Below are 27,055 nucleotides of genomic sequence, written 5' to 3'. Positions count from 1 at the left end.
GGATCACAGTAGTAGTAATCATCAGGTTTGCTGTTTTTGAATACTTACTGTGTATCAGGCACTGTACTAAGGCCTTTACATACCCTGGATATTAAGGAAAAAAGATTCTTAGGAAAATGGAAGCAGAGAACTTGAACTGCAGCCTAAAGAAGCAAGGCAACACTTCTGGGCGACAGATGTGGACTTGGCAGGGGTGGACTGTGGCGGTAAGGAGCTATAGGAAAGCCAGAGAGTCATCTGTGGGGCTGCGGTGCGAGGGACTGGATCAGGAGGGTTGTGAAGTCTGAGAAGCCAGAGAGAAAAGCAGTTCCCACGAGGAAGAAAGGGAAATGGTGGAGAGCCCTGTTGGAGGGCTTCACCTTGGACGTGAAGGAGGAAGGCTGCCTCTGAGGCTGAAGTTCCACTTTCTATCCCAGACACCCTCCTGAACTACAAAGAGTGGGTTTTGGTGGAAGGCGGTGACATTTATGGAGGTGAGGGAGAGTCTCATCTTTCTGGGGGCTCTAAAGTTTGGAAGGTGGAGGGATGGAAAAGACAGCTTTTACAATTCCTTCTGGCTCTGGAAGATGCACATTAAATTCTAATGGCTGCAACAATCCAAGATAGTGTAGGATTTACCAGTCTGCGCTGTTTTCTTATTTATTTATTTCTTACCATACCAATAGAGTAGGGGAATTCTGATGCTGCTTATGATCTGGCACCTTCATAGCAATCATATTCTTGTCAGTTAGTTTTAATAATGACTTGACTCTTAAATAAATAGAAATACAAATTCTTCCCTTCCTGGGAGTAAATATGATTTCATAGCTATGCCCTATAATTCTTCTCAAAAAAATAAAATGTTAAAAATCCAAGGGCAGCATTTCATATAAGTGTTTCATAGGAAGTCAGTTCTCCAAATGGCTTTGTCTTTTTTTTTTTTCTTTTTCTTTTTTGAGACAGGGTCTCATTCTGTCACTTAGGCTGGAGTGCAGTGGTGTGATCATGGCTCATTGCAGGTTCAACTTCCTGATCGAGGTATCAGCTGATCCTTCTGCCTCAGTCTCCTGAGTAGCTGGGACTACAGGCATGTGCCACCATGCCTGGCTACTTTTTGCATTTTTTTGTAGAGACAGGTTTTCACCATGTTGCCCAGGCTGGTCTTGAATTCCTAGGCTCAAGCAATCAACCCGCCTTGGCCTCCTAAAGTGCTGGGATTACAGGTGTGAGTCACCACGCCCATCCCTTTTCTTCTTTCATGGGAAAATGCTACCACATTTGTGGTGATGAGATTTTTGTACTAATCAGTGCCAGATTTAAAGCCTAGCATGCTATAGAGAATGGAATAAACAATTCTGGAGTAGTTTTAAGTAGGAGTATAATTACATTTATACACATTGTTGTGATATGAGGTAGGATCCTTTTTAATTAGTTGTAAGACACGTCATAATAACCTGATAGGCGTTCTGAAGTGAATCTAGTATTGTGTTTGAATTTTCCTTCATTAGGCAGTAAGATCTTGAAGAAAAGGAATGCACTGTGTTACCTTTTCCTCCACATGTGACCTATGCTTTGCTTTGCCTCTAATTATTGCCCATTAGATAAATGTTTTTAGAGCAAGATATCAAAGCAAATTGTAGAACACTGGTGATGTCACAAGCTATCTGAGCTTATCCATGCATTTGTTGATTAATTCGGCATTTCCGTATTGCCCATTCTTTAACCCTCATCTTTATGAGAGAGCTCAGAGACCTGAATGAAGGACAGGGTCAGAGAGCGTGGAGGTCCTTATTCTGATGCTGCCATTAAGACTGGTGTCCTGTTTTGACCTCAAAGATTTCTCTGTGAAATGAGATATGTGTGTGTATGTGTGCGTTTGTGTGAATGTGTTTGCACATACACACGTGTGTGCATTTAAGATAATTTTATAACAATTTAAAAAGCTGCTCTTTATTAGGCATCTGTTATGAGCTGGGCATCATATACCCATTATCTCATTTAATCTTATCAACAACACTCTAAGTTCATATCACGATTCCCATTTTACAGGGGAGGAAACATCAGTTTCCTTAAAGAGGTGAGTAACTTTCCAACCACCAAAGTGGTAGAGCTGGTAGTCAGCGCAAGGTTGGACTGACTGTACACTCTCTCATCCAAATAGTCTACAGGCCCTTTAAGTAGATCTTGGTTTATAATAAGCTCCAGTCTCTTTTAAACTTGTGCTTTATGTTGAATGCTGTATTAGTCCATTCTCACTATAAAGAACTATCTGAGACTAAGCAATTTATAAAGAAAAGAGGTTTAATTGATTCACAGTTCCGCAGGCTGTGCAGGAAGCATGGCTTGGGAGGCTTCAGGAAACTTACAATCATGGCAGAAGACGAAGGGGAGGCAGGCATGTCCTATATGGCTGGAGCAGGAGGAAGAGAGAGCAAAGGGAGGGATGCTACACACTTTTAAACAACCATATCTTGGCCTGGCGCGGTGGCTTACACCTGTAATCCCAGCACTTTGGGAGGCCAAGGTGGGTGGATGACCTGAGATCAGGAGTTCGAGACCAACCTGGCCAACATGGTGAAACCCCATCTCTACCTAAAATACAAAAATTAGCCAGGCGTGGTGGTGTGCACCTGTGGTCCCAGCTACTAGGGAGGCTGAGGCAGAAGAATTGCTTGAACCTGGGAGGCAGAGGTTGCAGTGAGCCGAGATCATGCCACTGCACTCCAGCCTAGGCATCAGAGCATGACTCTCTCAAAACAAAAACAAAAACAAAAAGCCAAACAAACAGATTTCATGAGAACTCACTCACTATCACAAGAACAGCAAGAGGGAAATCTGCCCCCACCATACCCCTTCTCCTACACTGGGGATTACAATTCAACATGAGATTTGGGCAGGGACATAAATCCAAACCATATCAGACACTTTCCAGAATTTTAGCAGTCAAAAAGCATTAGATGGCCAGGTGTGGTGGTTCATGCTGGTAATCCCAGCAGCTTGGGGGGCCAAGGCGGATGGATTGCTTGAGCCCAGCAGTTCGAGACCAGTCTGGACAACATGGCAAAACCCTTTTGTACAAAAAGTTACAAAAATTAGATGGGTGTGGTGGCACACGCCTGAAGTCCCAGCTACTTGGGAGGCTGAGGTGGGAGGATCACCTGAGCCCGGGAAGTCAAGGCTGCAGTGAGCCATGATTGTGCCACAGTACTCCAGCCTGGGAAACAGAGTGAGACCTTGTCTCAGTAAGTAAATCATTAGAGTTCCTGGCTGCCTAACAGGAAGCATTTCTGTTTCTTCTCCCTATGCACATTGAGCATCAGTCCTGGACCTGGGATGCTTTTAGATCTCCATCTACTATGACTTACAGATTCATCCTTGTGTTTATCTACAGTCTTTCTCACAATATAAGTTAAGCAGGTTTAACTGCTGAATCTGTGTCAAATCATTGCACCAAATCATTACATTTTGCCCTTCAGTTCACTGATACCTTCACAAGGATGAAAGTGTCCACTCTTACAGACCAGGGAGCTTTCTCACACTTTATGCCTCTGAGCAGCACTGTATGTAGCGATCACAAGAAACACAGTATTTAAAAATAGTCTGTTTTCACATCTGGAAGGGTTTTCAGTGTGCTGTGTTTTAAGTTGGAAAGATAGTACTATTGTATCTCACCCAAGTCTGAAAGGAGTGACTGGAGAGTAGAAAGTAGATGGAAAGTATTTATTTCATCATGTCTCTTGGCTGGATTGAGTGAACCCCTCATAAAGCCAAGCTGGAATGTGTGCTTCATATTATTAATAACCAAAATAGAGTATCCAGAGAAGCATGATACCCTCAAAATGGCTGGATAGCCTAGAAGAGCCGTAGCTCTTACAGCCATCGTGGGGAGGGATTTTCCAACAAGTAAGACCACTTCATGGGGTACTGTGGGACTCCAGAGGAGAGTAATGGGCCACTATCCCTAAAGGTGAAGAAAGATGGGTTGCTGTTATGAAGGGGACATTCTCATCCATTCATTTAGTCATTCATTCATCTATCCATCCATCCACTTGTTCTCAGAATTGCTGCTGAACTCCTGCATGTATCAGGTAACATGCCAGGTGTTGGGGAGAGAAAGAAGAAGACGCGGCCGGGTTCGGTGGCTCACGCCTGTAATCCCACCACTGTGGGAGGCCGAGTCAAGCGGATCACGATGTCAGGAGTTTGAGACCAGCCTGACCAACATGGTGAAACCCTGTCTCTACTAAAAATACAAAAATTAGCTGGGCGTGGTGGCAGGTGCCTGTAATCCCAGCCACTCAGGAGGCTGAGGCAGGAGAGTTGCTTGAACCTGGGAGGCGGAGGTTACAGTGAGCTGAGATGGTGCCATTGCACTCCAGCCTGGGCAAGAGAATGAGACTCCATCTCGAAAAAAAAAAAAAAAAAGACTCACCATAAGCAAGTTACTCACCTCTTGTTTCTTCATCAATAGAATGTGGCCTCAGGGTGCTGAGAGGATTAAATGCAGTAATTCATGAGAAAGGCTTTGAACTGTGCTTGGCACACGGTAAATGCTCACAAAAGGATTATTATTGCTGCTTCTATTGCTGCTACTGTTCTTTATATTATTCAGGGAGCTCAGATTTTCAAGCAGTGGTTCTTAATGGGATGGGGTGGGGTCACCGGGGAGGGGATGGTTGCCTCTAGGGGGCATTTGGCAATGTCCGGAGACATTTTTGGTTGTTACAGCTGGGGAGGTGCTATAGACATCTAGTGGGTAGAGGCCAGGGTTGCTGCTAGACATCCTACAATGCACAGCATAGACCCCCCCTCCCACAAAGAATTATCCAGTTCAACATGCTCATAGGTTGAGAAGCACTGGAGGAAGAGGCATGTAAGCCAATAATTACAATCTTTTGGAATAGAGCTATCTGAAAGACGTCCAAAAAATGGAGCCCTAGTGAGGCAAATAGAGCTCAGAGAATATTTTGTGGTTATTTATCTCCTTCAGTCCCCACAGCTGTTCTGTGAGGATAATCTTTGGTGCCCACATACAGGCGAGGAAATGAGGCAGCAGGAGCTGAAATGATGGCTTAAGTTCACCTGGTTAGAAATGGAGGATCCAGGGTTTACTGCCAGGCAGTCTGACCACATATCCCAGGCTCTGAACCACCATGCACTGGAACAGAAACACGATATCTGGGAGGGATTCATTGGGTAGGCCATGGTTGGAGGGTATCCCAATGGCTGGCATGTGGCCCATGGGAAAATGCTAACAAGTTTGTGGTGACAAGAATGTTATACTAATCAGTTCCAGATTTGAGGCATTGAAAGTGATCAGAATGGCTTGAACTGAGAAGTATGAGAGTACGTGGAAATGAGACTGGGAAGGGGGTCGTGGGAGCTGGGCTGAGGAGGTGCTTAGAGGACCTTTATGTTGTGGAATGTCGAGTCACTGAAAGCTTTAAGCGAGGCTTGGAAGATGGAAATTGGCTGCTGAAAAAACCTTTTAGCAATGAGGAAGTTGGGTTGGAGGAAGGAGAAACGGGAAGAAGGAAGACCAGTTAGAATGTTGCAACATCACAGGTGAGGGATGCTGAGAGATAGAGAAAAGGCTATATTTAAGAAAGTTGACAGAGAAAACTTGAAAATTACTCAAACCTGACTCAGCAAAGATTTCTGCTATGTGCTGCATATCCCTGCATGGCCTGTAGCCCCCAGGACTCGGGGGTTAATCTCCCCACGTTAAATCCTATACCACTTAATGAGCTGAGTGAATTGGGCAAATATCATGTTGCCCCGGCCTCACTGCTCTTCTGTGAAATGGAGATTGCGATCACGGTGTCTACCTGTTAGACACTATGGTGGTCTGAGGATTAAACAAAAGAAGCTCAGTAACTTTGAGCTCTTGTTATTGCTGCTGCTTATTTGTTAGGGAAGGAAGAAAAAAAGAAACCAGAAAACTCCTAACTGATGCGCATCGTGGAGTTCTGCTGAGGGAAAAGAGAAGAAGGTGTCTGAAATGACTCTTGGGCTTCAAACTCTGGATTTTCTCATAGAAAAATTTTATTTCTACTGTTCAAGTGCAGAGTGCCCATCACAGAAGTCGCTCCCAGAGTGCTAGGCTGGGCTGCTCACACCATGATGCTCTGTCTTTGTGGCTTGAGCTCAGGGAATCAGCACAGCAAGTTGCTATTCCATTGAGAGGGTTTACTGTGGGCATCTAGAATGTCATCTTTATCCTTCGTCTTACTGGAGACTGTCAGTCTCACATTTATTAAGTAGACACTAGGGCCGGCTCCACTGATCTCTCTCCCCGCTGCTTCTCTGGTTTGAGGCACAGTTTCAGAGAACCTGAGGGACCCGGTGGGCTCAGGCGGCCTCAAAGCAGCAGGTCACCTGACCAGTGGAGTGACCACAGATTCCAAGGTGTGACCGAGTGAAAGGGCTTATATCCCCAATGCCTGACTGCAGTTAAACCCTAATGAGGTATGTGGATCTTCTAGAGGAAGGGCCAGGCCCCTTTAATAAGGACCCTTCTGAACAAAGAGACAAGATGCTAATCCGAATTCCACTAGGACCAAGTTTGATGTCCTAGGGCAAGCCGCTTAACCCGAGCTGGGGCTCAGCAGTTCAGCACATAGAGGACACAAAAGATGCATCCGTCTCTAGAATCTTACCCCTGAGATGTGAGGGAGTGTGCAGATGATTGTAAATGGGTAACTTCCTGCAGAGCTGGTGTAATAATAAAATATAGCTACCACTTACTGATTGTTTACTTTCCTCTAGACTCTGTTCTAAGTGCTTGAATCCTCTAGCTCATTTAACTCTTGCAAGAAGCCTACAAAGTAGGTACTTTTTTTTATTCCTTTTTTTTAAAACAGGGTCTTGCTCTCTTACCCACACTGGAGTGCAGTGGTGCAATCATGGTTCACTGTAGCCTGGAACTCCTAGGCTCAAGCAATCCTCCTGCCTCAGCCTCCTCAGAACGTTTCTGGGGGTAGGTTGGTCCAATCCCCTCAGAGTGAGCAGGTTATCTCACTCCCTGGAAGGCTGGCTTCTCCCCTGCCTCTCTTCGGTGCTTGCCTCCAGCAAGTTACTGAAGTCCTCAGAGGCCTCTCCACCGTGAAATGGACACTGTCTGTCTGTGGGACTACAGGTGGATACCACCAGACCCAGCTAATTTTTAATTTTTTTTTTTTTTTGGTAGAGACAGGGTCTCACTGTGTTGCTCGTGCTGGTCTGAAACTCCTGGCCTCAAGCAATCCTCCCACCTCAGCCTCCCAAAGTGCTGATATTACAGGTTTGAGGCACCATGCCCAGTCTGAAGTAGGTTCAATCATCATCTCATTTTATGGATGAGGAAATAAATCCCAAGAAGTTAAATAACTTGTCCAAGTCCAGACAGCCAATAAGTGATTAAACTTGGATTTGAGCCCTGGGAAGCCAGACTCCAGAGCCCACACAACTGAACCCTTGTGCCATACTGCTTACTTGCATCAATGGTGAGTATCCCCTCACTAATATGTAGACCTCTTCATAAAGCTTTTACTCCAAGGAAAAGGCTGGAGGGAGAAGGAAACATGATTCAAGAAACTGGGCTGTCTGGCATGGTGCTATAGCACTCCACGTGGGGAATATTGTGTTTTCAAAGAAAGGGTGTGTTAGAAGGGGAATGATCATGGACGTTATATCAGATAGACTTGGTCCCTCAACACCACTAAACCTAAGGCCCCTCCTCATATTAAAGGGATCACAGTCCTCATTAGGATGATTGTGGGGAGTGAGTGAACCTAGCAGAGTGCCTGGCATGTCACTGGCATCAGGAAATGCTATTTCCTTCTCCCACCCGTCTTTCTTCTCTCAAGCGAACCGAGTAGACAAAGATAATTATACCTGGAGTACTTGCATTTCTTTGGCAGTAGAATAAAGTAAATTAAATGTATTTTTGAAGTTGAGGTTTCCATGAACTTGATTTGGCGGTCACTGTGTCCCAAGAAAGCCTTTATCTTTGACGTCCTCACATGCCGCAATTGCTTATCTCCCTGTTCCCAGTGCAATTGTCTTAGAAGCTTCTATACTGACTAGTCTTGGAGAAAGCCATAAAACATTCCTCTTTTGTGATCCTCAAAGAATAAAATCGTGAGGAGCCTTCGCTGACTGACGGGGAAGCGTAGAATGAATGCTTCGGTTTGCAGGGATGATCATTGGCAGCAGTCTTTTTTCAGGTTATGAATTCTGATGTTTCCCAGATGTTTGAAGATTTTGAGTGTCTTCAGGGGAGCTCGAGTGGTCCCATGGCTGCCATTTCTTCTGGTCATAGCCTCGCTGAAGGGAATAGCATTTCACGGGAGTGGGTTTAGGGTTGGATGAGGCACCCATCGGGAAGGACATGGGATTTTTCATTCTAAGTGCCTTGCCATAAAGCAAACGACAGGGGTCTATTCCTCTCTCTCTGGAGAATGTTTCTGGGGGCAGGTTGGTCTAATCCCCTCAGAGTGAGCAGGTTATCTCACTCCCTGGTAGGCTGCCTTCTTCCTTGGCTCACTTCAGTCCTTGCCTCCAGCAAGAGGGGTCTCTCCAATGCAAAATGGTCACTGTCTGTTCATGATAGTTTTTCTGTCTGAAGAAAGTCCCGGGGCCTTCATCTGCATGGCTGGGGCTAGGTCTGGAACTGCCTGGAGCATGAGCCTTTTGGGGGGTCTCTTCCCACCTGCTTTGTCTCTCTCTCTCTCTCCCCCTCACCCTGACTGGTCCAGTGACTCTTTATGTTGGTGAACAGAAACTTTACCATTGGTTTTCACTTTATGACGTCTATGGGCTTCCCCTCTCTGCCCCCAAGATGGCGTCTCACTCTGTTGCCCAGACTGGAGTGCAATGGTGAGATCTTAGCTCACTGCAACCTCTGCCTCCTGGATTCAAGTGATTCTCCTGCCTCAGCCTCCCAAGTAGCAGGGATTACAGGCTACTTCACCACCCCAGCTAATTTTTGTATTTTTAGTAGAGACAGGGTGTTGCCAGGTTGGCCAGACTGGTCTCAAACTCCTGACCTCAGGTGATCTGCCCACCTCAGCCTCCCGAAGTTTTGGGATTACAGGTGTGAGCCACTGTGCCGGCTAAGGATTTTTTTTTTAATCCTTTCCAAATAGAGTTTCAGATACTTTGCTCAGTACTGTGTTTGATGAGTATTATTTGGCAAGATTTATTATTTTTTCATTAAAAAATTAAAAATGACCTATAATAATTGTATGTATTTATGAGGTACCTCGTGATGTTTCCATACCTACAATGTATGATGATCAGATCCGGGAAATTAGCATATTCATCATCTCAAACATTTATCATTTCTTTGTGTTGGGAACGTTCAATATCCTCCTTTTAGCTATTTGAAACTATATACTAGATTATTGTTAACTGTAGTCCATCCTGCAGTGGTATAGAACACTAGAATTTATTCCTGTTATCTTGCTGTAATTATGTCCTGTTTAACAAATCCTTCCCTATCCTCTGCTCCCCTGACTCTTTCCAGTCAGCATTATTTATTAGGCACTGATTCTGTGCTGGCTGGGTGCTAGAGAGTTTACATATATTACTTAGCTTCATTTGCCTCTCTCCATTGCACCAAGAGGCGGCCACTGTTGCTGCCCCATTTTACAGAGGGTAAAGTTCTTGCATCTAGCTAGTGACCAAAGCAGGACTTGAGTCTAGCTAGATCTCTCTGACTCCAGAGGCCACGCTCTCTTAATCGTACTCTCCTTGGCTTGACACGGTGGGCTTAGAGAGTACATAATTGGATCAAGACAAATTCCTCCTGACGAAGGGAAAACCCACTCAAACAACATGATGAGCAGGCTCCTTTGTGACAGTTAGTGCTTGCCTTCTAACGCAGAGCTCTCTCTCCTGTCCTCTTCCTGTATTTGTAACCTTTCTGACATACAGAGAGCCTGCATGACAAGGCTGGGGTGCCAGATTGTTGGCCTCTGGCTTACTGACTCATTTTATTGGCTGTGCGCATTGGGCCTGACTCTACCATGTTTTAGTGGAGAAAGATTTAGTCTAAGATGTGGGCAGCGGCATGTGAGGAGTGGGTATTGTGCTGTGGTCCTGGGTATGAACCTTTGATGTTGTCATGGCAACCAAAGCTGCTATTCTGCAGATGAGAGGACTAGATATTATGAACTGTCAAACTGTTCTCTCCATAACCAAGGAGATGTTGGTAATCTCCTTGGTAATTTGCATGACCCATAAACATTTCCCAAGGCTGTGGCTCTGCCCTTCTGCCAAGACCCGAGTCACTCACTTGCTCACTCACTTACTCATTTGCTCACTCACTTATTCATTCTTTCATTCAACAAACTTGTTGATTGCCTACTGTGCTAGATGCTGGGATGTAATGGTGAATAAAAGACAGACATGGTCCCTGCCTTCTTGGAGCTTATAACTAGGATGACCAAATGTCCCAGGTTTTGTGGTTCTGGAGTAATTGTTAATAGTGCCCCTTTCTCTCTCAGAAGTGTCCTGGGGCTGGGCGTGGTGGCTCATGTCTATAATCTCAGCACTTTGGGAGGCTGAGGCAGGCGGATCACTTGAGCTCAGGAGTTTGAGACCAGCCTGGGCAACATGGCAAAACCCCATCTATATTAAAAAAAAAGTGTCTTGGTTTGAAATATAAAATATATAGTGACCCTACTTATAGACAGTGGGAGAGCCAAACCTTATGCATGTTATTACACAAATAATTGTAACTAAAAGCCAGATGAAAGTTGCAAAGGAGAGGGAGCTAGAGCTATGGGACACCCAAATAGGAGAACTGATTTAGTAGGACAAAGATTCCAGGCAGAGAGGGCTGAGTCAAGGCCCTGGATGGGAGGAAGCAACATGCCATGGCTGAGGACTTGAGAGAAGTGAGCAAATGTGGCCAAAGGGCATTTAGCAAAGGGAACTTAGAAAGCAATTTGGCTGGAGACAGGCAGGAGCCAAACCACGCAGGTGCTGATTCTGAATTTTATCTTAAGAGCACTGTGAAGCTTACAGTTATGTTTTCAGTAGCAGAGTGATATAATCTGGTCAATCAGTACATTGCCATTTTGGTTCTTCGTATAAACCCAAAGGGTTTTAAGTTATTTGTTCATTAATTCAATAACTAAACATTTATGGAGTGGCAACTGTGGCACTCTGCTAAGTGTTTTGCTCTGGAGTTCTGAACTCAATTGTCCTCAGTGGTGCCAAAACTCAACTCTTGGGGGAAGCCTTTATGGGCCCTTTATGTTGGGTCGTGTCCTGCTTGGCACCATTTGCCCCCCATTTGCTAGACTCTCTTGGATGACCTTTACTTTTCTCTGTCCTCTTTCCATGACTGTGAGCTCTTTGAAGTTGAATCTATGTCTTTTATCAATATATCCCTTCTGCCTGGCACAGTGGCTGGCCAATAGAAAATGCTAAAGGCTTGAGGAATGAAGGAATGGTGCTTTTTGTGTCTGTTCTTTTTTTTTTTTTTTTTTTTTGAGACAGAGTCTTGCTCTGTCTCCCAGGCTGGAGTGCCTTGGCATGATCTCAGCTCACTGCAACCTCCACCTCCTGGGTTCAAGCGATTCTTCTGCCTCGGCCTCCCTAGTAGCTGGGACTACAGGTGTGCACCACCACGCCCAGCTAATTTTTGTATTTTTAGTAGAGACGGGGTTTCATCATATTGGCCAGGCTGGTCTTGAACTCTTGACCTTGTGATCTGCCCACCTCGGCCTCCCAAAGTGCTGGGATTACAGGCATGAGCCACTGTGCCCAGCCTTTGTATCTGTTTGAAGACCAAGAGCCCTTCATTTAGAACTTTCACAGAAGGAAAGCAAAAAATTCTTTTGTTTCTGTTTTACAAGTCTTTTCTTTTTGGTCTGGTTGTCAATAGTACTTCTCTGGATCCGCCTCCTGTATTCAAGTGATTTTTCTGTCTCAGCCTCCTGAGAAGCTGGGACTACAGGGGTGTGCCACCACACCCAGCTAAGACAAAAACTCACCTTGTTGTCTTCTTTATGCATGAGCAGATTCCCTTGGTATCTATAGCCGTCGAAGCTTTACGTATTTCCCTATTTAGGGACATAAGAATTTTTAGGAAAGCAGCGTGTTGGAAAGCACGGCACCTGAGATGTTCATGGAAATCCTTGTTGTGACTTCAGAGTGCAGATCTAGAGCAGCCCTCTGTTTGTCTGCCCTGGGCCATCCCCTATTTCAAGCAGTCTTTAGTCCAGGAAGTTTAGGTAGCAGCTCAGGCAGCAGGTGAGCTCTGGAGAGTGCAGGTTCGGGTTCTTTGAGCCCAGGGGCACAACTCTGAGTTGAAGTGACTCCTCCTGGCTGTTGCTTTGAATTTAGAAGAGCTGCCCTTTCACCAGCAAGGCAGTCACGCAAAAGATGCTTCAATGTGTGCAAGATCAGGCCTGCAGCCCCCAGCCTGTGTCTACAGGCCTCCGAGTCATTATTATTACTGTTTCTATCCCTGGGGTTATTGATTTCATCACTGTTTAGTGAAGGAGATCTAAAGCTTTTAAGCCAGAAATTAAAGAGGTAATGGAAATTGGCATGCCACTGGAAAATGAATTTGCAAATGAGAATTCAATGTTCTAAAAAAACTCCCATAAAAATAAAACCAAAACCCAGAAGTGAATGCTCCTGTGACTGCATTTTTTTCCAAATGTGCATGGGTTTGTTCTCCTTTAGAGTGTGGCTGTATACATTATGGAATAATGAGATTTTGATGGTGTCTCGTTCCTACAATTGCTCTTATTACTTATCACAATACAATGTATTCATTTATATAACTAATATTTACTTAGTACCTATAATGAAGCAGGTGCTATGTTTGGCTCTAGCGATTAAAAAACAATAAAAAATGCAAGATGCCTCCACCCTGTCCTCAGGGAGCTTGAGGTTCAGTATTAATTATATCGCTAGCCAATTCTGGCATGGTGCTTACTGTGGACAGGAACTGCTCTAAATGCTTCACGTGTAGTAACTCATTTAAATTTTACATTGATCCTATGAAGTGGGGTAAGCAACAGAGGAACAGAGAAGTTAAATAACTTGCCCAAGCTGAAGTGAGAGGTGGAACTGTGATCCGGCCAAGGCAGTCCGGCTCTAGAATCCATGGTTTTTAGCCATGATGCTCTACTCTAGTGGATAGTTACAGCCCAGTAGCTATTGGTTACTAGATTGGTTCTAGAAGACAAGGAAGCACTCAGGTCCTTAGTCACAGAGCAGGAGTCTCTGACTCAACCTATGGGACCCCCAAGAGGACCTTCATTCACCTGTGAGTCAACTGCAGTGAGTCGTGATTACCTCCTGGTTGTCCTTTAGAGTGGCAGGGCTTTGTGTCTTAACATAAGGTGTTGAAGCTGGGTCACCCTTTTCGATCTAAAACCAATGTCCATGGGTTATCATTCAGGTCTGCAATTAAGAGTAGCTTGTCACTTTATATTGGGAACATTTATTTTTCCTTCCTTCTCTATGGAAATGGGCAGAAGAGATGAAAAGCCTGCTGGTGCAGCTTAACTTTCCTCAGTAAGTGAGTGTTTAACCTTTTGTTTTTTTAAAAATGGAGATGAGACATACAAATTATGACTTCTCTATGTTGTCCTTTTTTTTAGTTGGAAGAAGGTGACATGACAGATGAGCTTTAGAAAAATGTTTAGAAGGTGAACAGAGAACTATTCGTGGAAGATAGAAGGCTAGAGTTAAAAGAGAGGACTTTTAACCAGTCTCAGCTCTGACACTTCCTAACTACTATAACCTCACAGGATTTTGTGAGGACTAAATAGGATAATAAGGCGGAGTCTGCCACATTGCAAGTGCTGGCAGCTATGATTAATTTTAGGAGTATTCTAGAACTTTCCCTGAAGTTTCTAGCATTGTCTGCACTTCCTTGTTTCTCCCCTTATCAAACTATGCTCAGGGAGATTTGGTGACTCATTCTTAAGGAGGCACAGAAAATGATTTTTTTTTTTTTTGGCACAGAATCTTGTTCTGTAAAGGGCAGTCTTGCTCTGTGGAGGCTGGAGTAAAGTAGCACGATCATGGCTTACTGCAGCCTCTGCTTCCTGGGCTCCAACGATCCTCCCACCTGAACCTCCCGAGTGGCTAGGACTACAGGCATGCACCACCATACCTGTGTAATTTTTGTATTTTTTGTAGAGATGGGATTTTGCCATGTTGCCCAGGCTGGCCTTGAACTCCTGCGCTCAAGCAATCCTCCTGTCTCAGCCTCCCAAAGTATGGGGATTATTGGCATGAACTACCATGCCCAGCTGGAAATGAAATCTTAATTTGTGATTAATATTGATCACTCAAAAGCAACAAAGAGCCCTAAGGTAAATAGCTACAATAAAAGCAAGATAGCAGAAGCCTCTCTTTTTCATGATGTTATTAATCATCTAAATATTAAATTTCAGGCTCTGTTCAATGCAATGGCAATGGAAGGAATAGTAACCTTCCATTTAGTGCACAGTGTAATGAATCAGAATTCTTGTAGCTGCTTTTGTAGTCCAGTACAGTTTTTTAAAAATAGAAATTGGATAGACCCATTTTTAATGGGAATGATCTCAAGTGCAGAGAGAGCAAGGCATATATCAGACACTCTCCTCAGGACCAGGGCAATTTTTCAACATCAGTTGGCAAATTTGTTATTCTGCCTGTAGAGTGTAAGTCCAAACTGAGATGAAAGAGTGACAGCTTGTTAGTCTGAAAGTTTATTGATCATATCAAAGTATACACATCTATCCCTGATTCCTTAGTGGACTTGATACTTTCCTCGTGGTTTAAAATTTGTCTTATTTCATCCTTCCATGTAGTCAAAGAGAGACAGAGGAAATGCATTTTCCATCATAAGGCACAATTTGGAAGCTACAAGAGTGCCCCCAAATATGGCCTGGTCTCATAAGATAATATTTAGATAGATTAGTCGTTAGTGAATACCCAAGGGGCTAATGAATTGAGTCTCAGAAATCCCCATTGTAAGGGATTAACTTGTAGTAGCAAGGAAAGCTAGCGTGTCTAAGACCATACGCCATGAGCAAGCATGCTAGCCCATCCTGGGTTTCTCTCTCCTCTTCTCCAAACAGATTCTCCACTTGCCCTGTCCTTTCTGCCAGTGGCCTTCACTTTAGATTTATAACTAGGCTGTAAAGTTCTAATGAAAACTTGCTGCCTGGCTCCCTGAGGACCTGAGGAAAGGCTAATATTTGCACATAACTGGGTACTTAGGGCAGTAGGAAAATACACGTCATTGTAATATCCACCACAGCACTGAAGGTGCCTCTTTCTTTACCTTTTTATGGTCTGGTCTGCTTTTTATGAGGGACTCTGAGGTGGTGTGGCAGTTAGGAAGGCCACTTGATTGGGGTGTGTCCACTCAGGTCAGCCCAGGCTTGACTGCCATATTGGCTGTGTCTGGGTGGGAGGTAAAGGCACACGTGCGTCAGCCTGCATTCTCTTCCCTTCGTCCTATTGCAGGTAGCTGGGTGTCCCAGGCTGGGTGTGAGCCAGCCTGCCCTTCCCAGATGTGGGAAGCTGTGCGTCTGAGATAGAGAAAAAAGAACTCAAAGTAGAGAGAAGCGCCTTTGCAGAGTTCAGGATGGTGAACTTCCTGTTGACAATTCTAAGAGCATTGTTTGCTAGCTTTGCTGCGCACCAGATGTGTACTGTACACACAGCACTTTACCATTCTCAGTGTCATGAGTCCCTTGGGGGCAGCAGTGTTGCCCACTGTACTAGGTCCTCACCAGGGCTGAGTTAATCTGTACTCTAGGAAGTGCTCCGAAAGGGTTCCTGTTACTAATACTCCTGAATAAGAAATGACAAGGCACAGTGCCTGAAGTCTTATGTTCATTTTTAGACAACTCTGACAACAACCTTGTATGGAAGGTATTAGTCCTCATTTTATAGATGAGGAAATCAAGGTTCAGAGAAGCTGAACAGCTTGCAAGGCTGAATGGTTACCGCTTTATCCAAGAACTTTCCCTGTTGCAAGAGTAATGTATGAGGTGCTCCCACTGTCTTCCTCTGCACTGAATCCAAGACATCTCTGAATCAGCCACAAAAGTGCCTCACTGGGTGTGGCCCCAGAAATCCTCTCTGAGACCCTCCCATGGTTGTTTGAAATATTGTGAACTCACCTTGCCCTTGGAAGATTCACTTGTGTGGCTGTGGAATATTTATATGTGAAATACTTCTGAAGCAGGTGAAAGAAAAAGTAATTGTGGCAAGCAAATTAAATATTGTCTTTCCACTTCAAACCCGAGGCTCTTCGGCCATAAATGTGTGAGGAGGTGGAGAGATGTTGCTGCCCTGCTGCTGGGGTTTTGAATCATTAGGGGCATTTTTGAGTAGTAATGAATGTGGTCTGCCAGTTGCCTTTCTCACAGAGTTTGTGGCTTTCCTCCCAACTGCTAATGGCTGGAATAGGCTCCCTTTTTTTTTTTTTTTTTTTTTTTCTGAGACGGAGTCTCGCTCTGTCCCCCAGGCTGGAGTGCAGTGGCGCGATCTGGGCTCACCGCAAGCTCAGCCTCCCTGGTTCATGCCATTCTCCTGCCTCAGCCTCCCGAGTAGCTGGGACTACAGGCGCCCGCCACCATCCTGGCTAACACGGTGAAACCCCGTCTCTACTAAAAATAGGCTCACTTTTAATACATTTTAGAAACCACTTTCCACATTCATGCCCTCATCCTGCCTCAATCCCTGGCTAAATCTCCAATTCATAATCCCTTTGCTGACTGTGCCGTTCAGGGAGTAAGAACGTGGTGGACGCAGCCACCATTGTACCCTCAGATGAAGTCCTTTCTCGAGAGACAAACAGTCTGTTAGTAAAATGACCATACATCCTGGGTTGCACCTGTCCTGTGGTCCCAGCATAGCTGTTAACAGAGCTACCTTTTTATTTGCAAGTTCCCTGCTTTGGACAATAGATCAACTGGTCATCCAGCTATTAGCGTCCATGCATAAAGCACGAATCTGTTGTATTCTTCAGCCAATCTGAGACAACCAAGAGATTACTGCTGCACCTTTGTTTGTCTTTCTTTTTGGTGGCACATAAGGAAACAGAGAAACAGATGATCTCACCGAGTGCACAGATCATAGGAGAAAAGCCACAGACAGTTAGTGGTCCCCTGTGGGTCATCATTCATCCCAGTGCAGCACTAACGCTCATGATGGTATCGCACGCTGTCTGGAGCAGTGATTCATGTAGCTGGCGTTGCCTGATGGGAGGAAACTGGTGGGGAAAACGTGGTGGGGGGTCCTGTGAGGGGTCCAGTTACCTCCTCCTCCTCTCTTTCTAAGCGCATCAGCTACAGACCCGCCTCACTTTGTGAGAGGTTGCAGTTTCTCTCTTCTGCCTGTCAGGTAGTCCTAATGCATGGTGTGGGGGAGGGAGGACAAGGGAGAAAGAGGGGCACAGAATCTTTTAGATCCTGCCCTCTTTCAAGTCAGCTCTCCACCTCTTTTTAAAAGAAACAAATCATTATTATTTTGTTGTTTTTGTTGAGTTGCTTTTGTGTTTGTCTAATTTTAGAAAGAAGTAAAATGTTTTCCTCTCACACCTCTGGGAAGATAATATATCTAAATTTATTAGTTTAGTTTGTTCATTTATTTATTGTTAACTTAAAACATTCACTCCCGTGCCATTTACTGGGTAGCTGAGTGGGTGCTGGAAATGCCAGCTTAGAGGCTAAAAAGGAAATTCAAGGAGGAATGGAATTAAAATGTAAAGTAATGCCCTCTTATCTACAGTATCCCCTCGTATCTAATTATCTGTCTACCTCTATTGAATTATCTGCCTGTGTGAATTTTTTGATCCTTGTAAGATCTCTCTGAACTTGATAATGGTTGAACTTGTAAGTGAACAAATGATGCTCACTGAGTCTGAAATTATTAAATAACATTGGTTGAACCTCTACCCTGTAACATCTTTTGAGCTAAACTGTTCCGAGCTCAGTTGTGCCATTTCATCATCTGTGTGCTCATACATTCTAATGGGCTGCCCTCCATTCACTTCTGCAGCCTGAATGCAGGTAATTTTTTCTTTTTTTTTTTGAGACAGAGTCTCACTCTGTTGCCCAGGCTGGAGTGCAGTAGCGCGATCTCGGCTCACTGCAAGCTCCACCTCCCAGGTTCACGCCATTCTCCTGCCTCAGCCTCCCGAGTAGCTGGGACTACAGCGCCCGCCACCACGCCTGGCTAATATTTTTGTATTTTTAGTAGAGATGGGGTTTCACCATGTTAGGCAGGATGGCCTCAAACTCCTGACCTTGTGATCCACCTGCCTTGGCCTCCCAAAGTGCTGGGATTACAGGCATGAGCCACCGTGCCCGGCTGAGAAAAATCTTAAAAGCAAATGCATTTAATTTTAAAATGTTTTACTTGAGCTCAAACAATTAAGATCATTTGAAAATACTTCGAAAATTAATAAAAATTAGAACTGTAAACTCAATTAGAATTATTATTATTGAGTTAAAAATGATGTTGCCAATTCAAATGGTAACGTCAGTTATAACCCGAGTTTGCTGATTCATTTGAATTCTGGTTGTTTGCCAGAGTTTTTCAGAGTCATAAGATCCAGATAGAAAATCAAACCTCATTCTCAGCATTGGGGCTTTCTAAAGCCTTGTCAGAAATTTGGTGACTCGTGGGAGAGCTTATTTTTCTCCTTTTCATTGAGTCTTGCTCTCAAGGAGTTAGTTCAGATCATCAGTGGCCCTACTTTGCCCATAACAAGCCTTATGTATAATTTCCACAAAACTGCTTCCCCAGGGCATTTGGGTGCATTGGCCATTTTACTGAAGATTTGGCAGGGAGAGAGGAATTGACGTCACAGATAGAACCCAGCTGAAATTGGATACTAGATGGAGTTGCTCTTCAAAGACTTGGGCATTGCCGCTACGGAGCCTGAATTTCCCACCTGTCAGTTGACACCCCTTTTTGTCGCTTTATTTCTTCTTGTCCTCCTTTTTCAGGGCTTTTCCCTTTTCTCTGATCCTTCCCTCTTAGGGTATAAAAATCAACCTTTTCCTACTTTAATTAATTTATTCTTTAATTTTATTTTAACACAGAGCGACTCATCTCTAATCAGCTTCAACAGCCAAGTGAAGTTTGGTGTCTCCATTTGCATGTTCAAGGAAGTAGTCTAATTAGAAATGATCTCTCGTGAGGTCTCTTCTGCCTAAATTCTGGGACAATGGCTATCCTCCTTCCTCATCTGTCTGGAGGTGAAGATGGGAGTAGGGGAGGCAACATGCATTCTAGGTACCAAAGGTAGAGGAAAGGCAAAACCATCCGCTTTGGGCCAGACAGGGTTGAATCCTGGCCTCTTCACTTCCTGGCTGGGTGACCTAGGACAAGTTAATTAAGTTTCCTGAGCCTGTTTCCCCATCTCTAAGGTGGGGGATAATACTACTTTCTTGCAAGTTATGGAAAGGATAGAATGGAATCACACACAAGTTGTAGAAAGGATAAAACAGAATGACGCTTCTAGTGCACCTGGCGAAAGGCAGGCACTTAACAACTGTTAGTTCCCTTTTCCTTTCAACTGATAAACACTTTCCTTGAGGGTTACATAGGTAAACATTAAATATTTATGAATTGCATAATTCAAGAAAAATGAAACTTGAAAAGGATTCTTCAGATTTTTTGATGAAACAAATCATCGTCCCCATTGTCTTTTGTGCAAATCTGTGTTTTTGTTTGCAGTGCTGGGTTTGCTTATGACATTTGTGTGCAATTCTCAGCACCGTGAGACTTGAGTGAGCCTAACCTCTCTTCACAGCTTGATAGGAGTTGTAAATATTAGGTACTGATGGTATGATTTGAGGCAACCTAAGTGACTGAAGCCTAGAGCCCTCCCTGCGGTATTATTTCCAAGTGGGCTCATCAGAGCTGAATTGATAATGAAGATATAAACACTGGTGAAGGCTTTGTGGCTTGGTCTGATGGTACTCATACGGCACAGTGAAAATGGAGATGCTACCGGTGGAAAGGACTCACCATCTGTCTGCCCTCTAGAGCAGAGCAGAACATACCTCTGATGATTATGTGACCACTGTCAATTAGGCTGATTTATGCAAAGACAGTCTGTACACATCCCATGCAGCCAGATTTTAAATTCTAGGGTGCCAGGTTTTGCTAGAAACAGTGGCCGGCTGCGGTCTTGCATAATATTCCATGTTCTCTTAGAGGCAGAAAAGAATAGACTCACGACTTGACAGAAGGTGCTTTTTTCCCCTGTATCATCCAGTCAATTGTCTATGAGTCTGCCAAATCTAGCTCGCAGCATCTTTTTGTACAACCCCTGAGCTGAAAATGGTTTTTGCATATTTAAAAGATTATTTAAAAAAAGAAAAATATACAACAGAGAACCATATGTGGCCCACCAGGGCTAAAATATTTACTATCTGACCCTTTATGGAAAAAGTTGTTGATCCCTGGTTCAGAGTGTTTGAAATAACTCAGATGAAAGAAGGCAAAATGTAATGATGATTGACTTTTCCAGTTGTAATCTGATTTGTGACAACCACTGTATGCCTGTTTTAACAAAGCTTAATGGGCATTACTTAGGATAAATGTAATTACGTTTCAATATTTGTGTCTTGCTCTCCCTACATAGGGTTATTCCAGGTTTGCCCAAGGAACAGAGAGTCTGTTTGTTGTTCTAGAAGTAGCTCCTGTGTCTGTCACCTCCTCTCCAAGGCTTCCACCTGTCGCTTTTTTATCCCAGTTCACCCGTGTGAACAGCATGTGTTTCGGCTGCCATGACAGCACGTCCTACCTTTTTCCCTGGCTTGAAAGAAGATGGCAGGGGCCAGCTCAGGAAGAACTGCTACGGAGTTTTTTCACCTTCTCCTGCTCGTGATGAGGCTAGGGAGGGATTTTTAGCGTATCTTTAATTGTTGCCGAAGTATGAACTCGGGGAAGGGGGCAACTGTGAAGCAGTGATGCATAGACTAAGTCTCCTGGAAGAAGCAGGGCTTGAATTAGACCCAGAAGGATGGGCACCGTTTGTGGGAGGGCACAGGTACATAAGTACAGGGAACATGTCATGGAGTGTCCTGCCCAGAGTGGGGAATTTATAGCAGTGTGAGATGAAAATGGGTCATCATTGTGGCCAGTTTGTTGGAAATTTTAAGGTGTATGGAATTCCAATTCAGTTATCATCAAGGAGTCATTGTAGCTTATTTTTAAAAAGAGCGATGTGTGTGTGTGTGGTGTGGGGGTGGGGGAGAGTGGAATGACAATCATGAAATTGGCTACTGTTTGGTAAACCCTAACTGGGAGCCAGACATTTGGCTAAGGGTGTTACTTGGACCATCTCATTTAATCCTCACAACAACCCTGTGGGGAAGGTATTATCTCTAGTTTGCAAATGAGGAAACTAGGCTCAGAGAGGTTCAAACAACTTGCCCAAGGTTCTGAAGTTAATAACGGCCACAGCCAGGATGGCTCTTAACTCCTGCCCTGTGGAAACAAGCTCAACGTAAAACATTCTTACAAGACAGAAAAGAGTGAAAAAGCAACCAAAATCCTGCCTTGCGGAAATGCCCACTTTGGGTGAACATTCTTCTAGACATTTTTTGTGTGTGTATATGCACAGAAACTTGTAACATTTTGCATAATCTGGGCCACCCCATGCCTGCAAGCTTTCTATAAATGTCACCATATTCTATACCCTAGCGTTTCCCCCCTATTTAACACTAATTTTCTGATTTTCACAACTGGGTGCATAGTATTTTGCTTTGGGATGCTACCATCATCCACTTAACCAGTTCTCTCTAGATCACTGCAGGTTCTTGAGTAGGGGAATAATGTATTGGAACCTTTTTTTTTTTTGAAGAAAAAAAAAATAAACAACTTTTAAACTGAGTCTTATGCTTTTTCCCTTTCTTTGCAGCATGCTCTTGATGCTGACAATGCGGGAGTCAGTCCAATAGGAAACTCTTCCAACAACAGCAGCCACTGGGACCTCGGCAGTGCCTTTTTCTTTGCTGGAACTGTCATTACGACCATAGGTACCCGTTTGTTTGCTAATATCTCTTCCTCTGCAGGTCATCTTGAGTAAGGGCGCTTAGTCAGTGTTTTGTCCTCATAGCATACACTATAGTTTGAGGTTCAGAGGAGGCTTACGAAACACTGTCGTTTAAATTAATGCAGTCATTGTGGTGGCTTTCAACAAAAGCCAAAGCATAATGAAGTATCTCTTTTTCCAGAATGAAAGGCTAGCAAACCTAATGAAAAGGTTAGAATGGAAAATATGAGTTGGTCGGTTGAACTCGGGTTACTCATTTGAGCTCAACTTCCATTTTAAAAATTGTACTTCTTATTAAAGTTATATAGTAAGGAACCAAAATATTCTACAAAATTTTTTATAAAAAACAGTAACATTCTGACCGTCTCACCTTTTCTTACCTTCCCAGAGACTGTTGCTTTCATCTGTTTTGATTGTTGATTTTAACACTCATCCCCATGTCTTTAAATATCATGCTTGTGCTACTTCTGGAATTTTCAGTTTTGGGGATTTTTTTTGACTTTCCATTGTGGAAGATGAGGAGTTAGTTCCTTCTTCCTGCCTGCCTCATCACAGAAGGGCTCTTTTCCTGTCCTCCTGTCTTCCCAATATTTAATTAGATAGAAGTGAAACATCTGCATGATTTTGACTAGATAAATGCTTTCTGCAGCTGATCATAGAGTGAACAGTGATGACCTCTTTCCTGTATCAGTCTTTGTCTTATTTTTTGTATGTGTGTCTTTTTTTTCTGACACTTGGTGAGTTTTGTATTTTTGTCTTAGGGGTTAACTTTATTTATTTATTTATTTTATTTTATTTTATTTTATTTTATTTTATTTTATTTTTTGAGATGGAGTTTCACTCTTATCACCCAGGCTGGAGTGCAGTGGTGCAATCTCGGCTCACTGCAACCTCCGCCTCACGGGTTCAAGTGATTCTCTTGCCTCATTCTCCTGAGTAGCTGGGATTACAGGCGCCCACCACCATGCCTAGCTAATTTTTGTATTTTTAGTAGAGATGGGGTTTCACCACATTGGCCAGGCTGGTCTCAAACTCCTGACCTCAGGTGATCTGCCCGCCTCAGCCTCCCAAAGTGTTGGGATTACCGGCGTGAGCCACCGCACCTGGCCTAGGGGTTAACTTTATAAGTATAATGGCATATAATAATTTTAGTGTTCTATTCGTTAACCAGCATGTATTCGATCCCTATAACGGGTGATGATATCTCTTTTCTCTCTTTTTCCAACACAAAGTTTTGGTGGACATCATCTTTTAAATGATTAAATTTGCTTATGTTTCTCTTATATGATTTGCCAGCTTTAAATGATAACTCTTGGCACTCAGCTATTACATATAAGGCAGTCAGTGAACTTAGCATCTCAATTTCCTTTCCCTCTTCCACTATCCACTCTTATTCATGGTGTCATTCTATATAAGTTGTATCTCACTTTATTGTGCTTTGCTTTATTGTGCTTTGAAGATGTTGAGTTTTTTTTTTTTAAACAAATTTAAGGTGTATGGCAATCCCGCATTGAACAAGTCTATTGGTGCCATTTTTCCAACGTCGTGTGCTCCACTCTGTGTCTCTGCCACATTTTGGTAATTTTCACAATAGTTTCAACCTTTTTCATTTTTGATTATATCTGTTAAGGAGATCTGTGGTCAGTGATCTTTGATGTCATGATTGTCATTGTTTTGGGGTGCCACCAACCATGCCCTTTGAAGATGGTGAACCTAATCAATAAATGCCGTGTGTTCTGACTGTTCCACCAGCTGGCCATTCAGGCATCCCAGATCCCTGAGGCACAATGGTATTGAAATTTGGCCAATTAATAACCCTGCAGTGGCTTCTCAGTGTTCAAGTGAAAGGAAGAGTCAGTTGCATGTCTCTCATTTTAAATGTAAATCTAGAAATAATTAAGATTGGTGAGGAAGGCATTTTGAACTCTGAAACAGGCCAACAGCTAAGTCTCTTCTGCCAAACAGTTAGCAAAGTTGTGAGTGCAAAGGAAATTTTGTGTTTTATTTTTTTTGAGACAGGATCTCTCTGTGTCACCCACGCAGGAGTGCAGTGGTGTGATCATGGTTCACTGCAGCCTTGATTCCTGGGCTCAAGGGATCCTCCCACCTCAGCCCCCTAAGTAGCTCAGACTACTAGTGTGCATCACCATTCCTGGCTAATTTTTTAAACATTTTTTTCTAGAGATGGGGTTTCACTATGTTACCCAGGCTGGTCTTGAACTTCTGGGCCCAAGTGATCCACCCACCTTGGCCTCCCAAAGTGCTGGAATTACAGGCATGAGCCACTGTTCCTGGCCAGGAAAAATTCCTGAAAGAAATTAAAAGTGATACTCCAGTGAGTGAGCACATGAATGATAAGAAAGTGAACCAGCCTTATTGCTGATATGGAGAAAATTGTAGTGGTCTGGATAGAAGATCAAACCAGCCACAACATTCCCTTAAGCCAAAATCTAATTCAGAGCAAGCGGGCTCTTTTCAGTTCTATAAAGGCTAAGAGAGGTAAGGAGGCTTCAGAAGAAAAGTTTGAAGCTAGCAGAGGTTGGTTTATGACATTTAAGGTAAGAAGACCTTTTGATAACATAAAAGTGCAGGTTAAAGTGGCAAGTGCTAGTGGAGAAGCTACAGCAAATTATCCAGAAGGTCTAGCTAAGAAAGTGGCTACACTAAACAACAGATTTTCATTATAGACAAAACAGCCTTATATTACAAGATGCCATCTAGGACTTTCATAGTTACAGAAGAGAAGTCAATGCCTGGCTTCAAAGCTTCAAATGATAGGCTGACTCTTTTGTTAGGGGCTATGCAGCTGGTGACTTTATGTTGAAGCCAGTGCTCATTTACCATCCAGAAAATCCTAAGGCCCTTAAGGATTCTGCTTGCCTTCTATAAATGGAACTTCAAAGCCTGGATGACAGCACATCTGTTTACAGCATGGTTTACTGAAGAGTTTAACCTCACTGTTGAGATCTACTACTCAGAAAAAAGATTCCTTTCAAAATAGTTCTGTTCACTGACAATGCACCTAGTCACCCGAGAGCTCTGATGGAAAGGTGCAAGGAGATAAATGTTGTTTTCATGCTTGCTAATACCACATCCATTCTTCAGCCCATGGATGGAGTAATTTTGACTTTGAACTCTTATTATTTAAGAAATACATTTCATAAGGCTGTAGCTGCCATACATAATGATTCCTCTGATGAGTCTGAGCAAAGTGATTTGAACATCTTCTGGAAAGGAGTCATCATTGTAGATGCCATTAAGAACATTTGTGATGAATTGGAAGAGGTCAAAATACCAACATTAACAAGAGTTTGGAAGAAGTTGATTCCAAGGCTCATGGATGACTTTGAGAGCTTCAAGACTTCACTAGAGGATGCCACTGCTGATGTGTTGGAATTAGAAGTAGAGTGTGAAGATGTGACTGAAATGCTGCATCTCATGATAAAACTTGAATGAATTAGGAGCTTCTTCTTATGGATGAACAAAGAAAGTGATTTCTTGAGATGGAATCTGCTCCTGCCTGGTAAAGATGCTGTGAACATTGTTGAAATGACAACAAAGAATTCAGAATATTATATCAACTTAGTTGATAAAGCAGTGGCAGGGTTTGAGAAGATTGATTCCAATTTGAAAAAAGTTCTACTGTAGGTAAAATGCTATCTAACAGCATTGCATGTTACAGAGAAATTGTGAAAGGAAGAGTCAATGGATGTGGCCAACTTCTTTGTTGTCTTATTTCAAGAAATTGTCACAGCCACCCCAGCCTTCAACAGTCACCGCCCTGATCAGTCAGTAGTCATCAACATCAAAGGAAGACCCTCCGCCAGCGAAAGCATTATGACTTGTTGAAAACTCAGATTATTATTAGAATTTTTGGTAATAAAGTATTTTCAAGTTAAGGAGTATATATACATTTTTTAGACCTAATGCTATTGTACACTCAATAGACTGTAGTAGAGTGTAAACATAACTTTTATATGCACTGGGAAACAAAAAAGAAAATGTGTGACTCATTTTATTGTGGTGGTCTGAAGTCTAACTCACAATGTCTCTGACGTATGCCTGTATAACCTCAGGGTATGTAATTTAGATTTTAATTTGTTACCCTGATATTTGCATTTGTTTTAGTCGTAGCTCTATAGTTAGATATCATTAATGTTCATCTCTAGTCCTTTTGCTGTGGTTTATCTCATGATCACTTACTTGGCTGAAAGTCATCTTCAAGTAGTTGCCTTAAGAATGGCTCAGGGGAGCAATATTCTGTGAGATCTTGCATTGTTCACAGTTGTAGCTTAACATTTGAAGGATAGTTGAAACAAAATGAAATCCATTTTATTGACTCACATTTTCTTTTTCTTTTTTTTTTTTTGAGACTGGGTCTTGCTCTGTTGTCCAGGCTGGAGTACAGTGGTATGAACATAGCTCACTGCAGTCTCCAACTCCTGGGCCCAAGTGATCTTTTGGCTTCAGCCTCCTGAGTAGCTGGGACTACAGGCGCATACCACCAGGGCTAGCTAATTTTTAAAATATTTTGTAGAAGCCAGGTCTTGCTGTGTTGCCCAGACTGGTCTCAGACTCCTGGCCTCAAAGGATCCTCCTACCTTGGCCTCCCAGAGTGCTAGGATTACATGTGTGAGCCACCACGCCTGGCTTTACATTTTCTTTTTAACTGGTCTCACAGGTGTTGCTCTTCTGTTTCCCAGTTTTTATGCAGCTGTTGGGGGAAACCTGATGCCAGCCTTTTTTTCCCCACTTTTATAGGTGACTTTATCTTTTTGTTCAGTGACTTAAAATATTATTTCTCTTTCATCTGATAACATTACTAGGTTTTGACTCTTTTATTGCATTAAAGTTTTCTTGATTGACATCTTTAAACATTTTCTTTGCTGTGTGGTTTTGGTTTTGTTCTTTGGGAGATTACAGCTATACATATATTGTAACTTCTTTGCTCATCTTCTATGTCTCTCATTTCTCTTCTACTTTTTAACTCTTAAAATCTAGTTTTCATTTTGTTAATTTTATTCTCCCTATTCCTTTAGTTTGTAT

The 27,055-nt window shown here is 43.2% G+C and overlaps 1 protein-coding gene across 3 annotated transcripts in view; it reads left to right on the top strand.

Annotated features, from left to right (window-relative positions):
* The window catches only part of KCNK10 (potassium two pore domain channel subfamily K member 10), a 146,805-nt gene that overhangs the window by 64,218 nt on the left and 55,532 nt on the right, over nt 1-27,055 (top strand). For all 3 annotated transcript variants that reach the window (NM_021161.5, NM_138317.3, NM_138318.3), the window contains exon 3: nt 21,875-21,992. In NM_021161.5, coding sequence (NP_066984.1) covers nt 21,875-21,992 — 118 coding nt within the window. The remainder of the gene's footprint in view (nt 1-21,874; nt 21,993-27,055) is intronic.

Source organism: Homo sapiens, chromosome 14 (assembly GCF_000001405.40).
Source record: "Homo sapiens chromosome 14, GRCh38.p14 Primary Assembly".
NCBI classification, from domain to species: Eukaryota; Metazoa; Chordata; class Mammalia; order Primates; family Hominidae; genus Homo; species Homo sapiens.
This window is presented reverse-complemented; position numbering and strand designations above follow the sequence as displayed.